Raw genomic sequence first — 13,311 nt, forward strand, 5'->3', positions numbered from 1 at the left:
AACTGGCAGCCACTTTGGACTGATCAAGTCGCAAAGCTGAATTAATTGCTTACTATTGTAAGGGAGAGCTATGCCAGTCAGGCCCAGGCTCCCTTAGGAGAGCAGACTGCTGATCTTCTGTGGGGTTTTGGGGAAGCTGGAAGTTTAAGGACAGGAAGACTTTGAAAAGTATTAATAGGATGATGTCATCTGGGGTGGGGATTGATTTGGGCTGTAATAGAAGCCCTACTTGGAGAAGTGAACAAAGGGTTTAATCTGCTTCAGGCAGAAAAACACCTAGGAATAGGACATCCAGGGCAGGCATTTCAGCTCACTGATGCCTTCGAGGAACCAGGGCCCTTCTGTTTTCTTGCTCTACCATTAGTGGCCCATGCATTTGCACCCTCATGGTTGTGTTACTTGGGGGTCCTTGCTCACAGAGCTCCCAAGATGGTGGCAAGCCTCGTGTTCTCTGACCTGGGGTTCTTGGCCTTATGGATTCAAGGAATGGAACCTTGGGCCATGCGGTGAGTGTTATAGCTCTATTAGAAGCTGTGGGTCACAGAAGAGAACCATGGAACCCAGTGACTAGTGTTCAGCTCAATTAGGATGAACCCAGGCACTTAGCCATGCAGGAACAATGGCAAGCCTTTAGCCCGATTGGGAGCGGCAATGGGTGCCTCGCTGGATCAGGAGCACAGCGGACACCCTGCATGATCCAGAGGGATGGGAGTCAGCGGCGGGTCTGCGGTGGCGGCAAACAGCAGTGGTGGATGGCGAGCGAAAGCTCAGCTCAAGCCGTAAGAAACATGGACCAGAAGAGTGCAGTTGCAAGATTTAATAGAGTGAAATAGCATGAAAACAGAGCTCCCATACAAAGGGAGGGGACCCAAAGGGGGTTGCCGTTGCCGGCTCGAAGACTTGGGTTTATATCCCGATCATTGTCCCTCCTGCTGTGCTCTCAGGCAATAGATGATTGGCTATTTCTTTACCTCCTGTCTTTGCCTAATTAGCATTTTAGTGAGCTCTCTGATTGGTCAGGTGTGAGCTAAGTTGCAAGCCCCGTGTTTAAAGGTGGATGTGGTCACCTTCCCAGCTAGGCTTAGGGATTCTTAGTCAGCCTAGGAAATCCAGCTAGTCCTGTCTCTCAGTCCCCCATCTCAACAGGAAAACCTAAGTGCTGTTGGGGAGGTTGGCCGACGACCGCTCTAACTGCTTCCTGCTGAATTGGGGCGTAGTAGAGGTTGTGCAGCTGAGATTTCCTCAGGAGGGGTGCCTTTGATGTCATTAACATCAGATCGTGGGCTAGCAGGCCGGTCCAGGGGTCTGCGGTAGATCTTAGTCTTGGACTGCATCTTGGGCTCCATTTGTAGTTTTACAGCTTCGATTCTGGAAGAGACAAAGTTAACAAGGAGGTTAAAGATACAGGGTCCAAAGAGGAGTAGCAATATTATAGCTGCTAGAGGTCCTAAGAAGGGGAGAATCCAGGGCATCCATTGGCTGAGGAGGCCCCAGGGTCCAGTGTTTCGAAGCTCCTCTGCTCTACGTTGTATTCGATCTCGAATTTCTTTAACTTTCTCAGTGACGATTCCGGATTGATTAACATAATAACAGCATTCTTCCCCTAAAAATAAACAGGTTCCCCCTCTTTCAGCGGTTAGCAAGTCTAAAGCTCTTCGATTTTGAAGGACTACTGCTGCTAGGGAGTTAAGTTGATCTTGCAAGGTGACCAGGGAGTCGGCGACCCGTTCCATGTCCCCATTTAGTTCTTGAGATAGTTTGTAGTAGAACTGAGTAGAGGTTGTGATACCGCCAATGCCAGTACCTAGTGCACCTAGCACTCCTGCTCCTATAACAAAAGGAAGAATGGGTACTCTTTTGTTGCGGGGCTTAGATATGACATAACTGTATAAATCTTGTTCAGTGTAGATGGTCATAGGGGGCACTAAGAATGAGAGGAAGCACATAGATTCTGAAGAGCCATTCAAACAACGATAGGCTGAGGTACCACAGACAAAAAATATTCCTGAGGGTAGGCAGACTATTTGTGTGGGAGGAGTTACCCACCTGATGCATTGGGAGTTGGTTGTGTATGTAGTATTGCTAAATTTTACACAGGTGAGGTTTGAGGTATGGGTTATTTCCAGATTGGAAACAAGAGGTCCTACTAAAACGGAAGTGGTGTTTATTTCTGTGCTGAAGTTGTTCCATTGTTCAGGTACAGGGATTGAAACATATGGCCTGAAGTTCAGGGGGAGGCATATCCAACAGTTAGTAGGGTTTTGGGCCGAGACCTCATGGAGCCCAGTGAGGGTGGTATTAAATAGGCTTACCAGGCGAGTATGGGTACGGAGGGTTTCATGTAGTTTTGAGAGATCTAGTCCTTTGTAGGGGCTAGAGGTGCCATGTACCCGGGTGAGTTGGGAGATTACTTCTTTTACATGTTTTTCTCTTGCCTGATCTTGAACTCCACCCCCATCAGACATACCAGTTTGGGTGAAGTAAGTCCAACAGACAGTGACTCCAAGTCCTCCAGGACAACTAGGATTAATCATTTTTCCTGTCCAATAATGAGTATTTGCATGCATGCAAAGAGTGGCAGAGTGATAGCAGTTGCGGGGCATATGGGTGTGGGCAGTGAAGGTGGGGGTTCCCTTAGAAAGACTCCTATACGATGGGGCATCAATATTTCCGGGACGCTGCATTCTCCATAGAAACTCTTGGTAAGGGGAGCTACTGGTCATACAGCGGCATGGAGGGGGTGCAGTGAGAGTGAAAGAGGGTAAAAGAACAGTAAAGAGAAAAATATGATAAGGGAGGGCCATGGGGATTTATGATTTTAGTTACTTTCCTCCTGGTTGTTGTTTGAAGAGCAGGCGCAAATCCTCTAGAGGTTCACAGGAATAGCTAGCGTTGTCTCCTGGATTTTCAGGTTCCTTTGGCAGTATCCAGGATTTGACTCAAGTGTGATGTATCCAAGACTCCACTCCAGCCACTTTAACCGCAGTTGGGGTAGATAAAATGACTGGGTAGGGTCCTTCCCAGGATGTATCTAGGGATGGGGAATTAGAGGGAAGGGACTTGACTAATACCATGTCACAAGGGTGGAATAGTTCTTTTCCCTCTTCTCAGGGATAGGTTCCTTGTAATGTTTTAAGAACTTGTTGATATTTGGCTAAGGAGGTGATGTCTGCAACTAAGTTGGCTGTCTTGGGTCAAGCACAAGGTCATTGGTTATGAAGGGCCTTCCATACAGCATTTCGTATGGGCTAAGTCCTGCTTTTTGGGGAAAGTTGCAGATTCTTTTTAAGGCTATAGGCAACAGAGCAGGCCATGTGAGGTGGGTTTCCTGGGTTTGCTTTTTTAGATGTCCTTTGAGTGTTTCATTCATTTTCTCGACCTTCCCTGAGGACTGTGGCCTTCAGGCGCAGTGTAAGTGATATCGTATACCTAACGCCTGGGATACTCCCTGGGTTACTGTGGCCTGGAAAGCAGGGCTATTGTCACTCTGTAAGCCTCGGGGAAGTCCGAATCTGGGAATTATTTCATGAACTAGTGCCTTTATTACCTCTTGGGCCTTTTCTGTCCTACAGGGGAAGGCCTCTGCCCAACCCGTGAAAGTATCTACCCAGACTAGTAGATACTGAAATCCCTGAGGTTTGGGCTTGTGGGTAAAATCAGTTGCCAGTCTTCTCCAGGGTAATGGCCTGTTCTTTGTTCTCCTGAAGGAGCTTGGCGATAAGGCAGGGGATTATTTCTCTGGCACACTTCACAGGCCCTGACTATCTGCTTGATAGTTTTGAAAAGGCCTGGTCCAGTAAATAATGATTTGGCCATCTGATGGGTGCTATCGATGCCTAAGTGAAAGGTTTGATGAAGGGTTTTAAGTAATTTCCATTGGATAGTTGCAGGCAAAAGTATTTTCCCTTCTTCAGTGGCTAGCCGTCCCGAGGGGAGAAAACTGTCCTCGTGAGGTTCCCCATTCTGTTTCTCCTGCTGAGTACTGGGGCTTGGTTTCCCGGAGGGGATTACCCTATACTAGGGGTTGTTTTATAAGCATTTCTAATGGAGGGTCCTGCCTTGCAGCTCTTTTGGCTTCAATATCTGCTTGGCAGTTCTCTTCTATTTCCCTTTCCTTTCCTTTCTGATGACCCCGGCAGTGTAAGACTGCCACCTCTTTAGGTTTCTGTACAGCCAATAATAATTTCCTAATGGCTTCCTGATGTTTGATAGGTGTTCTCTCAGAAGTTAGGAATTCCCTTTCTTTCCATATTGCTGCATGGGCATGGAGGACTAGGTAAGCATATTTAGAGTCTGTATATATATTTGCCCTTTTTTCTTCTCCTAATTCTAGTGCCCAAGTGAGGGCTATTAGTTCTGCTAGCTGAGCACTAGTTCCTGGAGTGAGGGGATTACTTTCAAGTATTCCATTATCACTGACCACTGCATACCCCACTTTTCGAAGTCCTTTTTCTACAAAGGAACTTCCATCAGTATACAAGTTGAGGTCGGGATCAGTCAAAGGAACCTCTAAAAGGTCCCCTCGAGTGGCATAGGTTTGAGAAATTACTTGTTGACAGTTATGTTTTATCTTTTCTTCATTGTCTGGAAGAAATGTGGCTGGGTTAAGAGTTGCACAAGTGCACAGTCGCAGCACTGGCCCTTCAAGTAATAGAGCCTGACATTTAAGTAAACAGTTGTCTGACAGCCACAAGTCTCCTTTAGCAGTGAGTATGCCATTCACATCATGAGATGTCCACACAGTAAGATCTCTTCCCTGTATTATTTTAACTGCTTCAGATACTAAGACTGCTACTGCCACCACTACCCGTAAACAATGAGGTCAACCCTTTGCCACTACATCAATTTCCTTAGTCAGGTATGCCACAGGTTGCAAGCTCATCCCTCGGATCTGTGTAAGGACTCCTAGAGCTATTCCTGTTTTTTCTGTGACATATGAAGAAAAGTCTTGCCCTGTTGGCAAACTTAACACTGGGGCTTGGGTTAGGGCCTGGAAAGCCACTTCTACTTCAGTTGTCCATCTTACTAAATGGGTATTGGCTTTCTGAGTTTCCTTAATTAGTGTATTTAATGACCTGGCTATTTCGCCATACCTGGGAATCCATTTTCGGCAGAAACCTATTACGCCAAGGAATCCCCTTAGTTGCTTTAGGGTTTTGGGATGAGGATAAGCCAGTATAGGCTGGATGTGTTCCTCACTGAGGGCCCTGGTGCCTTTGGATAATTTTAGCCCTAAGTAACCTGCTGTGAGCAGAGTTGAGCCTTTGGTTTGGAAACCATGTAGCCACAGGTAGCGAGGAAATTGAAGAGCGCTTGGGTGGCTTGATGGCACAAGGTTTCTGAATGGGCGGCCAAAAGTAAATCATCCACCTACCGAAGGACAAGTGTCCAGGTATGAGGATTGGCTCAAGTCTTGGGCTAATGCCTGGCCAAATAGATGGGGACTATCCCTGAACCCTTGGGGTAAAATAGTCCAGGTGAGTTGAGATGTTGGGTTTGAAGTATCTTCAAAGGCAAACAAGAATTGAGAGTCAGGATGTACAGGGATGCAGAAGAAGGCATCCTGAAGGTCCAGGACTGTAAACCACTCTGCTTCCTCTGGTATTTGGGAAAGCAGAGTATAAGGGCTAGGTACAGCTGGCTATAGAGGAACAACAGCCTCATTGATAATCCTGAGATCTTGCACTAACCTCCACTGTCTGTTGGGTTTCTGTACTCCTAAAATTGGAGTACTGCAGGGGTTACTGCATGGTTTTACTAGGCCTTGGGCTTTTAGGTCCTTAACAATCTTTTGGAGTCCTTGTTGGGCCTTGGGTCTGAGGGGGTACTGCCTTTGGTAGGGAAAGGAGGTGGAATCCTTTAGTTTAACTTGAACAGGACGGGCATTCTTTGCTCGTCCATATTGTCCTTCTGTTGCCCAGACTTCAGGATTAATTCCTTCCTCAAGCAGGGGACAACAAACGGGTGTTCCTTCTCCTATGTTCAGGTGTATAATGGCCCCTGCTTTTGCTAGAATGTCTCTCCCTAACAAGGTAGTGGGGCTTTCAAGCATAATTAGAAAAGCATGTGAAAAGAATAAAGCTCCCCAGTCATAACTTAGTGGCTGGGAGAAGTATCTAGTGACTGCCCGTCTTAGGACCCCCTCAGATAGTGACAGATCTGGAGGACAGTTGTCCGGGACAGAAGAGTAAGACTAAGAAGACCGCACCAGTGTCCAGGAGACAACCTCCTGGCCCTCAATGGTCAAGCATACCCAGGGCTCTGTGAGGGTGATGGCATGGGATGGCGCTTGCCCCAGGCACCCTCAGTCCTGCTGCTGGATCATCTGGTTAGTGGCTTCTGACTCAGAGGACCTTTGTCCCCTGGGGCAGTGGGCCTTCCAGTGATTCCCTTGAAATAAGGGGCATGGACGAGGGGGCGGCTTACTTCTACTTGGACAATCTTTTTTAAAGTGTCCTTGTAGACCGCACTGGAAGCAAGCCCTATTAGGCATTCAATTTGCCCAGCTTTTCCCTTTTCCAGAGCCTCCAAAGTCCACTTGCCTGAGGGTCATGACTAAAGCGGTGGCCTTTTTTTTAATCCCGTTTGTCCTGTTCCGCCTGCTCCTCCTGATCTCTATTATAAAAAACCGAGGTTGCCAAGTTCAATAGGGTTTCTAAGTTTTGCTCCGGGCCTACGGCAGACTTTTGAAGTTTTTTTCTAATGTCTGCAGCTGACTGAGTGATAAACTTACGCTTTAAGATTAGTTGGCCTTCAGAAGAGTCAGGTGACAGAGAGGCACGCTTCCTCAATGCCTCCCTTAGTCTCTCCAGAAAGGCAGTAGGATTTTCTTCCCTTCCCTGTGTTATGGTGGACATCATTGAGTAATTCATAGACTTCTTCCTAGTTTTCCTTAGTCCTTCTAGCACACAAGTTAGCAAATGTCTGCAGCACCAATCTCCATGTTCTGATTCTGTGTCCCAATGAGGGTCTAGACTGGGAACTGCCTGCTGGCCTGTGGGGAATCATTCTCTTTCCTCTGTTGTCATCCTATCATTGACCTGACTGAGATACCAGAGATCGCCAAACTCTCAGGCTGCAGTTATGGTGGCACTTCTCTCATTTGGGGTTAGTGTCTGATTTAGCAGTGACATTATATCTCTCCATGTCAGATCAAAGAATTGTCCTAACCCTTGTAAAACATCAATATAGCCATCAGGGTTATCTGAGAATTTACCTAAGTCTGTTTTTATTTGCTTTAAGTCTGGGAGAGAAAAAGGCACATGCACTCTGGCTGGGCCGAATTCTCTTCCTCCCACTGCTTGGAGGGGTCATAATTGGGGAATATTGGCACTCTTTGGTTCACTGTTTACCCTTTTGTCTATCTCCTTTTGGACCATTTGGGTTGAAGGGGGGTCCTTATTAGTTGGGGAAGGAGTCGGGGATGCTGGGATAGGGAGGTAGACTCTGAAGGCTTCCTGTAGGGCATAAATCACACTTTTTACATAATTGTGAGTTGTCTCTTAATGAAAAGAAAGTTTGTACTTATGGCACTTCACTCCATTTGCCTTTTCTACAAAAGAGGTCTAGCTGTAAGATGGTGTTATAATTTATACTTCCCTCAGGAGTGCCAGGCGGCACTGCAGAAGAATATAAGTCGTTTCTTTCTTAGTGTCTGAGGGTCAAATTGGTCCCAATTCTCCAGAATACGTCTTAGGGGCGTTTTTGTCTTGCGGGGAACGTTTCCCATCTGAAAAAAGAACATAGGGATGCCAGCAACCCTAGTCATTTTCCGATGAGCTTTAGTCCTGGAGTGTCCTCTATGGTCCTAATGCTTATTCTTTCCAGGGTGCATCACCACCCATGGACCTCTGCTTATCGAATTAGTTATGCTCACTGATGTTGCAGTCCTGCACCTGTTTTCCTGCCTCTCTTGACCACAAAGAAAGGGGTCCAGGCTGCTGGATTCTAGTGGTCCTTTACCAGCGTGCCCAACATTGCCTTTGTGCTCAGGGGTGAGTTCCTTTCCAGGGTGCGTAACCACCCATGGACCTCTGTTTATCGGATTAGTTATGCTTACCGATGTAGCAGTCCTGCACCCCTTTTCCCGCCTTTCTTGACCACAAAGAAAGGGGTCTGGGCTGCTGGATTCTAGTGGTCCTTTACCAGCATGCCCAACATTGCCTTTGCGCTCAGGGGTGAGTCCTAGAGCTGGGCTGGGTTCCTATTTTATAACAACCCAGCTGCCCCATCAAGATGCATTCCCATAAACAAGTTCTTATGCAAATGCATTACAGAGAGGGTGTAGCTAACCTTTTGAATCAGGATTGAGATAGTCTTTTGATTCTGTAAGTACTTTAAGGCTTGGCTGAGTGCAAACAGCTCACACGTTTGAGGAGACCAGTTATTAGGCAATTTTTCTAACTCTGCTTCCACAAGAGTCCCCGTATCAATTACTGAATACCCATTGTGGTTTTTTTCCTCAATCACCTGGGAGGAACCATCTATCGTCCTGTCCTGAAGGGAGTTCCGCCTAGGTCTGGTCGGACCTTTGTATGGTAATTAAGATTTAAATCCCGTTAGGAAATCTGCTGGGTTAAGGGAATTATCAGTGGTTGGAGTTACATTACCTTTTTCTAACAGAATAGCCCCATACTTTAAGATTTTTGAGTTAGTAAGCTACCTTTTTGCTTTTTTTATTAGAATAATTCTGAACAGGTGAGGTGTGCTCACAATGAGGTTTCCTCTAAAAGTTACTTTTCTACTTTTAGCAAAGCAGTTGCGCTACCGACTGAATGCATTTGGTCCATCTGCGGGTTACTGGGTTAAGGATTTTTGATAGGGAAGCTACGGGTTGTCAATGGCCTCAGTGCTTTCGGCCTATGCTCTTATTTACACTGACCACAAAGTGGATTGGAGTGCTATAGGGTCACAGAGAAGACCTTCAATTATCAAGTACAGGTTTTAAATTTACCCTGGCTTTTAAAGGAATAGGGCACACTGTTTTTTACTATTTCTTTCTCTTTCTTTCTCTCTTTGACTCTCTCTCTCTCCTCTTTGTCTCTCTCTCTCTTCTGTCTCTCTCACTGTCTCTCTCTCCTCTCTGTCTCTCTCTCTTTCTCCTCCATTTCTCTCTCTCTCCTCTGTCTCTCTTTTCCCTCAGCCATTTACAAACTTGGGGCCCTGGCAAGGGTGGTGGGGAGTGGGTCCTACATAACTGCCCATGTCAAGAGCTGTATGCCTAAATTGGGAGGGACACCAGGGATAAGACTCCCTGGGTTATAGCCTAGGTGCCTAAGGACGCAGCGCAGAGCTTCCTTAGATCCCTTTGGAGATACAACTTGCTAGAGGAAATGGAAGTCTGAACCAATAGTACCTAGGAGGCAGGGATCAGAGGAAGTATATTCAGAGGTAAGGAGAATTTTGGGGCTACACTTTGAAGAAAGTTGTGGTTGGGACCCAGGAGGTATGGGTCAGAAGGAAAGATAGGGGTGCATGCATGGGCGACTGTTGAGACTTCTGGCTACACCATGATCTCAACCGGCTACTGCCGGGAGTTCAGGACGACAGCTTTCTGCCTCTAGTCGGCCCTCGGCTTCCCCAAGAAAACTGAAAGTGGAAGCTGGCTTGAGGCAAACCAAGTCCCCAACCCAGAAGGGTTGGGGGTTGTTAGAAAGCCCTTCCCCAGATAGCCTCACACCTGAGTCTTAAGTCCGGTGGCCACACTAATCGTTTTTAACTGGCCGACAAGTGCCCGGTATTTTCCTCCAATTCTAAGGAAGGATAGGACAGAATAGCAAGTGAAAGTGGTCCAATATTACTCACCACTTTGGATGTCCGTTCGTGGTTGCCAAAATGTTACCGGGGGGTCCTTGCTCACAGAGCTCCCAAGATGGTGGTGAACCACTTCCAAGATGGTAGCAGGCCGCTTCCAAGATGGTGGCAAGCCTCGTATTCTCTGACCTGGAGTTCTTGGCCTCACGGATTCCAAGGAATGGAATCTTGGGCCATGTGGTAAGTGTTATAGTTCTATTAGAAGCCGTGGGTCACAGAAGAGAACCATGGAACCCAGTGACTAGTGTTCAGCTCAATTAGAACAAACCCAGGCACTTAGCCGTGCAGGAACAATGGCAAGCCTTTAGCCCAATTGGGAGCGGCAATGGGCGCCTCGCTGGATCAGGAGCACAGCGGACACCCTGCAGGATCCAGAGGGATGGGAGTCAGCGGCAGGTCTGCGGTGGTGGCAAACAGCAGTGGTGGACGGTGAGCAAAAGCTCAGCTCGAGCCGTAAGAAACATGGACCAGAAGAGTGCAGTTGCAAGATTTAATAGAGTGAAATAGCATGAAAACAGCTCCCATACAAAGGGAAGGGACCCAAAGGGGGGCTGCTGTTGCCAGCTCGAATGCCTGGGTTTATATCCCGATTGTTGTCCCTCCTGCTGTGCTCTCAGGCAATAGATGATTGGCTATTTCTTTACCTCCTGTCTTTGCCTAATTAGCATTTTAGTGAGCTCTCTGATTGGTCAGGTGTGAGCTAAGTTGCAAGCCCCGTGTTTAAAGGTGGACGTGGTCACCTTCCCAGCTAGGCTTAGGGATTCTTAGTCGGCCTAGGAAATCCAGCTAGTCCTGTCTCTCAGTTGCAAGATAATTGCTGTATCTCCAGGCGTTTTGCCCTCATCCCAGAAAGGAAGCCCGCCCCAGGGACTTCTGTCTATGTTCACTGTCCAGAACTATGTCACATAGCCACAAATGACTGCAGTGAAGATCATGTGACTCAGTAATTCACTCTCCAGAGAGTATAGGAAGGCAAGAGAGGTGGTGTTGGAATGGATGTTGAATGAATTCATCTATAGGATATACCACAACGTCGGGAATAAGTGGCAGATGTTACAATCGAAATGGGCTGATTATAAGTGGGGATAAGTGGCTCGTGGGGTGGCAGAGGTCAGGCAGTTGCAATATGAGAGGCTAGGTGGATGCAGCTACCATAATCAGCAGTAAAGCCAGCATGTTAATTGCAGTGGTCTGACCTGCAGGGATCTTTGGTGCTGCCTAATTATGGTAATACATAAGTTATTAAGAAATAGTTTTTTGGCAGCTAGAAAGAGTAAAGGTTTTTGGAAATTTTCTTGTAATAAGAAGCAACCCTCACCCATTCCAAACCATTCCTTTTCTAACAGAAAAGACAGCTTAAAGAGCCAGGCCAGCAAACTTTGATATGCAAATGCAGGCTATTAAAAACTAGGTCCACCCAACATGGCCACCATGGCGATTCCCACCCTCTTCTTGTCAGCACATGTACCAAGTGTCATGGCCCCCTCCAGATAATTCATGTGTTTTCAGAACATCATGGCAACCCACATTTGCATATTAAAGGGCTGAGGTGGGAGGGCCAGGTTTTTTGCGGGGTACATGAATGATACACCTGGTCAACCCAATCCCCTGGGCCCTGTGCAAATCAGACACCGCCTCCTCCAGCCTCCCAGTATAATCAACCACTTTTCCACTGCACATGGGGTTTCCTTCTCTCGGCTTGGAGCCCCCTCCCTCTGTGTCTGTACAGGGGAGCCTCTTCCTTCTTTTTTGCGTATTAAACTCTCTGCTCCTTAAAACCACTCCATGTGTGTCCGTGTTGTTGTCACCCCCGTCCCTGTGAAGAGAGTCCACCAAACAGGCTTTGTGTGAGCAACAAGGCTGTTTATTTCACCTGGGTGCAGGCGGGCTGAGTCCAAAAAAGGAGTCAGCTAAGGGAGATGGGGTGGGGCCATTTTATAGGATTTGGGTGGGTAGTGGAGGGGCAGGGGTCACAAGGTGCTCAGTGGGGGAGGTTTTGAGCCAGGAGAAGGAATTTCCCAAGGTTAATTGCTCAGTTAAGGTGGGGCAGGAACAAATCACAGTGGTGGAATGTCATCGGTTAAGGCAGGAACAGGCCATTTTCACTTCTTTTGTGATTCTTCAGTTACTTCAGGCCATCTGGATGTATATGTGCAGGTCACAGGGGATATGATGGCTTGGGCTCAGAGGCCTGACATTGCTGTCTTCTTATATTAATAAGAAAAATAATGTAAAATAGTGTTGAAGTGTTGGGGCAGCAAAAATTTTGGGGGTGGTATGGAGAGATAATGGGCTATGTTTCTCAGGGCTGCTTCGAGAGGGATTATGGGCGGCATGGGAACCTAGAGTGGGAGAGATTAAGCTGAAGGAAGATTTTGTGGTAAGGGGCGATATTGTGGGGTTGTTAGAAGGAGCATTTATTGTATAGAACGATTGGTGATGGCCTGGATGCGGTTTTGTATGAATTGAAAAACTAAACGGAAGACACAAGGTCCGAATAAGAGAAGGAGAAAAACAGATATTAAAGGACTAAGATTTGGGAGGACCTAAGACATCCAATTAGAGAGTGCCCAAGGGGGTTCAGCATAATTACTAGCTTGGTTGCGAGTTTTTGGGCTCTATCCTCCTTTTTAAGTTGGAGGCTGAGTTTGGTGGGGTGTGTTTTTAAAAGACCATTAGTCCATTCTACCTTTCCTGAAGATTGAGGACAGTAAGGGGTACGAAGGTTCCACTGAATACCAAGAGCCTGAAAAACTGCTCAGGTGATTTGACTAATAAAGGCTGCTCCGTTATTGGACTGTATAGAGGTGGGAAGGCCAACCCAAGGAATTATGTCTGACAGAAGGGAAGAAATGACTGCAGTGGCCTTCTCAGACCCTGTGGGAAAGGCCTCTACCCATCCAGTGACAGTGTCTACCCAGACCAAGAGGTATTTTAGTTTCCTGACTCAGGGCATGTGAGTAAAGTCAATTTGCCAGTCCTGGGCAGGGGCAAATCCCCGAGCTTGATGTGTAGGGAGGGGAGGGGGCCTGAACAATCCCTGAGGGGTAGTAGAATAGCAGATGGAACACTGAGAAGTGATTTCCTTGAGGATATGTTTCCACGATGGAAGGAAATGAGAGGTTCTAAGAGGTGGACTAGTGGCTTGTAACCTACATGGAAGAGGTTATGAAATGATGACAGAATAGAATGGGCCTGTGAGGCTGGAAGGAGATATTTTCCTTGGTCTAAGAACCATTTGCCTTGTGTGAGAAGAGATTGATAGGCGGAAGTTTCAATGGGGGAGTAGGTGGGAATGACTGATGGGAAGGAGAAAAACTGGCCATGAGGGACAGAAGTTGGAACGCTAGGTGCTTCTTTAGCTACCTTATCAGCATAAGCATTTCCTAGAGTAATGGGATCTGACGCCTTTTGGTGGCCCTTGCAGTGTGTGACTCCAGCTTCCTTTGGAAGTAAAGCAGCCTTGAGAAGAGTTTTTATTAAAGAGGCATTAATGAT

At 47.0% G+C, this 13,311-nt stretch overlaps 2 protein-coding genes across 5 annotated transcripts in view, besides 22 other annotated features; one reads left to right on the forward strand and one right to left on the reverse strand.

The window, feature by feature from the left end:
- Positions 1-13,311, forward strand: part of GATAD1 (GATA zinc finger domain containing 1) — a 48,288-nt gene that overhangs the window by 20,096 nt on the left and 14,881 nt on the right. The window lies entirely within an intron of this gene.
- On the reverse strand, positions 803-10,369 carry ERVW-1 (endogenous retrovirus group W member 1, envelope). 2 transcript variants are annotated; one of them, NM_001130925.2, is made up of 2 exons: positions 9,805-10,369; positions 803-3,031 (listed from the first exon to the last, which is right to left on the reverse strand). In NM_001130925.2, exon 2 carries the CDS (start codon positions 2,802-2,804, stop codon positions 1,188-1,190), a length of 1,617 nt encoding a protein of 538 aa, NP_001124397.1. In that variant the 5' UTR covers positions 2,805-3,031; positions 9,805-10,369; the 3' UTR covers positions 803-1,187. The 2 variants fall into 2 exon arrangements, with proteins under 2 accessions (NP_001124397.1, NP_055405.3); NM_014590.4 differs by lacking the exon at positions 9,805-10,369 and having other exon boundaries at positions 803-3,847.
- Positions 9,053-9,554: an enhancer, noted in NCBI's record as "H3K27ac-H3K4me1 hESC enhancer chr7:92105944-92106445 (GRCh37/hg19 assembly coordinates)". NCBI's record gives its function as "activates a minimal SCP1, AML or CMV promoter by ChIP-STARR-seq in naive H9 embryonic stem cells {active_cell/tissue: H9 hESC(naive)}" and the evidence as "EXISTENCE:reporter gene assay evidence [ECO:0000049][PMID:30033119]".
- Positions 9,692-10,611: an enhancer, noted in NCBI's record as "H3K27ac-H3K4me1 hESC enhancer chr7:92106583-92107502 (GRCh37/hg19 assembly coordinates)". NCBI's record gives its function as "activates a minimal SCP1, AML or CMV promoter by ChIP-STARR-seq in primed H9 embryonic stem cells {active_cell/tissue: H9 hESC(primed)}" and the evidence as "EXISTENCE:reporter gene assay evidence [ECO:0000049][PMID:30033119]".
- Positions 9,692-13,152: a biological region, named in NCBI's record as "ERVW-1 upstream regulatory region". NCBI's record gives its function as "regulatory_interactions: ERVW-1".
- Positions 9,836-10,615: a mobile genetic element, noted in NCBI's record as "long terminal repeat of endogenous retrovirus HERV17".
- Positions 10,259-10,591: a promoter, noted in NCBI's record as "AvrII/XhoI fragment for -148 promoter". NCBI's record gives its function as "minimal core promoter in trophoblast cells" and the evidence as "EXISTENCE:reporter gene assay evidence [ECO:0000049][PMID:14613893]".
- Positions 10,298-10,658: a promoter, noted in NCBI's record as "LTR fragment -35 to +310". NCBI's record gives the evidence for it as "EXISTENCE:reporter gene assay evidence [ECO:0000049][PMID:14757826, PMID:15507602]".
- Positions 10,468-10,487: a protein binding site, noted in NCBI's record as "Octwt probe". NCBI's record gives the evidence for it as "EXISTENCE:protein binding evidence [ECO:0000024][PMID:14613893]".
- Positions 10,490-10,509: a protein binding site, noted in NCBI's record as "CBFwt probe". NCBI's record gives the evidence for it as "EXISTENCE:protein binding evidence [ECO:0000024][PMID:14613893]".
- Positions 10,495-10,523: a protein binding site, noted in NCBI's record as "PPRE-2 probe". NCBI's record gives its function as "promotes transcription" and the evidence as "EXISTENCE:protein binding evidence [ECO:0000024][PMID:22573555]".
- Positions 10,589-10,733: an enhancer, noted in NCBI's record as "-294 to -148 fragment". NCBI's record gives its function as "placenta-specific enhancer" and the evidence as "EXISTENCE:reporter gene assay evidence [ECO:0000049][PMID:15888734]".
- Positions 10,617-10,643: a protein binding site, noted in NCBI's record as "GATA(STN) probe". NCBI's record gives the evidence for it as "EXISTENCE:protein binding evidence [ECO:0000024][PMID:15888734]".
- Positions 10,623-11,053: an enhancer, noted in NCBI's record as "436 bp upstream regulatory element (URE)". NCBI's record gives its function as "putative tissue specific, placental enhancer" and the evidence as "EXISTENCE:reporter gene assay evidence [ECO:0000049][PMID:15507602]".
- Positions 10,644-10,664: a protein binding site, noted in NCBI's record as "pGCMA". NCBI's record gives its function as "promotes transcription in BeWo cells" and the evidence as "EXISTENCE:protein binding evidence [ECO:0000024][PMID:12397062]".
- Positions 10,651-10,682: an enhancer, noted in NCBI's record as "-67 to -35 of URE". NCBI's record gives its function as "trophoblast-specific enhancer (TSE)" and the evidence as "EXISTENCE:reporter gene assay evidence [ECO:0000049][PMID:15507602]".
- Positions 10,664-10,686: a protein binding site, noted in NCBI's record as "SP1 probe". NCBI's record gives the evidence for it as "EXISTENCE:protein binding evidence [ECO:0000024][PMID:15888734]".
- Positions 10,683-10,743: a mobile genetic element, noted in NCBI's record as "long terminal repeat of retrovirus-like MaLR element".
- Positions 10,683-10,744: a transcriptional cis regulatory region, noted in NCBI's record as "-128 to -68 of URE". NCBI's record gives its function as "negative regulatory region" and the evidence as "EXISTENCE:reporter gene assay evidence [ECO:0000049][PMID:15507602]".
- Positions 10,745-11,053: a transcriptional cis regulatory region, noted in NCBI's record as "-436 to -129 of URE". NCBI's record gives its function as "positive regulatory region" and the evidence as "EXISTENCE:reporter gene assay evidence [ECO:0000049][PMID:15507602]".
- Positions 10,815-10,829: a protein binding site, noted in NCBI's record as "kB probe". NCBI's record gives its function as "required for cytokine-stimulated activation" and the evidence as "EXISTENCE:protein binding evidence [ECO:0000024][PMID:17258784]".
- Positions 10,908-10,935: a protein binding site, noted in NCBI's record as "PPRE-1 probe". NCBI's record gives its function as "promotes transcription" and the evidence as "EXISTENCE:protein binding evidence [ECO:0000024][PMID:22573555]".
- Positions 11,697-12,478: an enhancer, noted in NCBI's record as "H3K27ac hESC enhancer chr7:92108588-92109369 (GRCh37/hg19 assembly coordinates)". NCBI's record gives its function as "activates a minimal SCP1, AML or CMV promoter by ChIP-STARR-seq in primed H9 embryonic stem cells {active_cell/tissue: H9 hESC(primed)}" and the evidence as "EXISTENCE:reporter gene assay evidence [ECO:0000049][PMID:30033119]".
- Positions 13,131-13,152: a protein binding site, noted in NCBI's record as "dGCMA". NCBI's record gives its function as "promotes transcription in BeWo cells" and the evidence as "EXISTENCE:protein binding evidence [ECO:0000024][PMID:12397062]".

This window comes from Homo sapiens, chromosome 7 (assembly GCF_000001405.40).
Source record: "Homo sapiens chromosome 7, GRCh38.p14 Primary Assembly".
Lineage (NCBI taxonomy): Eukaryota > Metazoa > Chordata > Mammalia > Primates > Hominidae > Homo > Homo sapiens.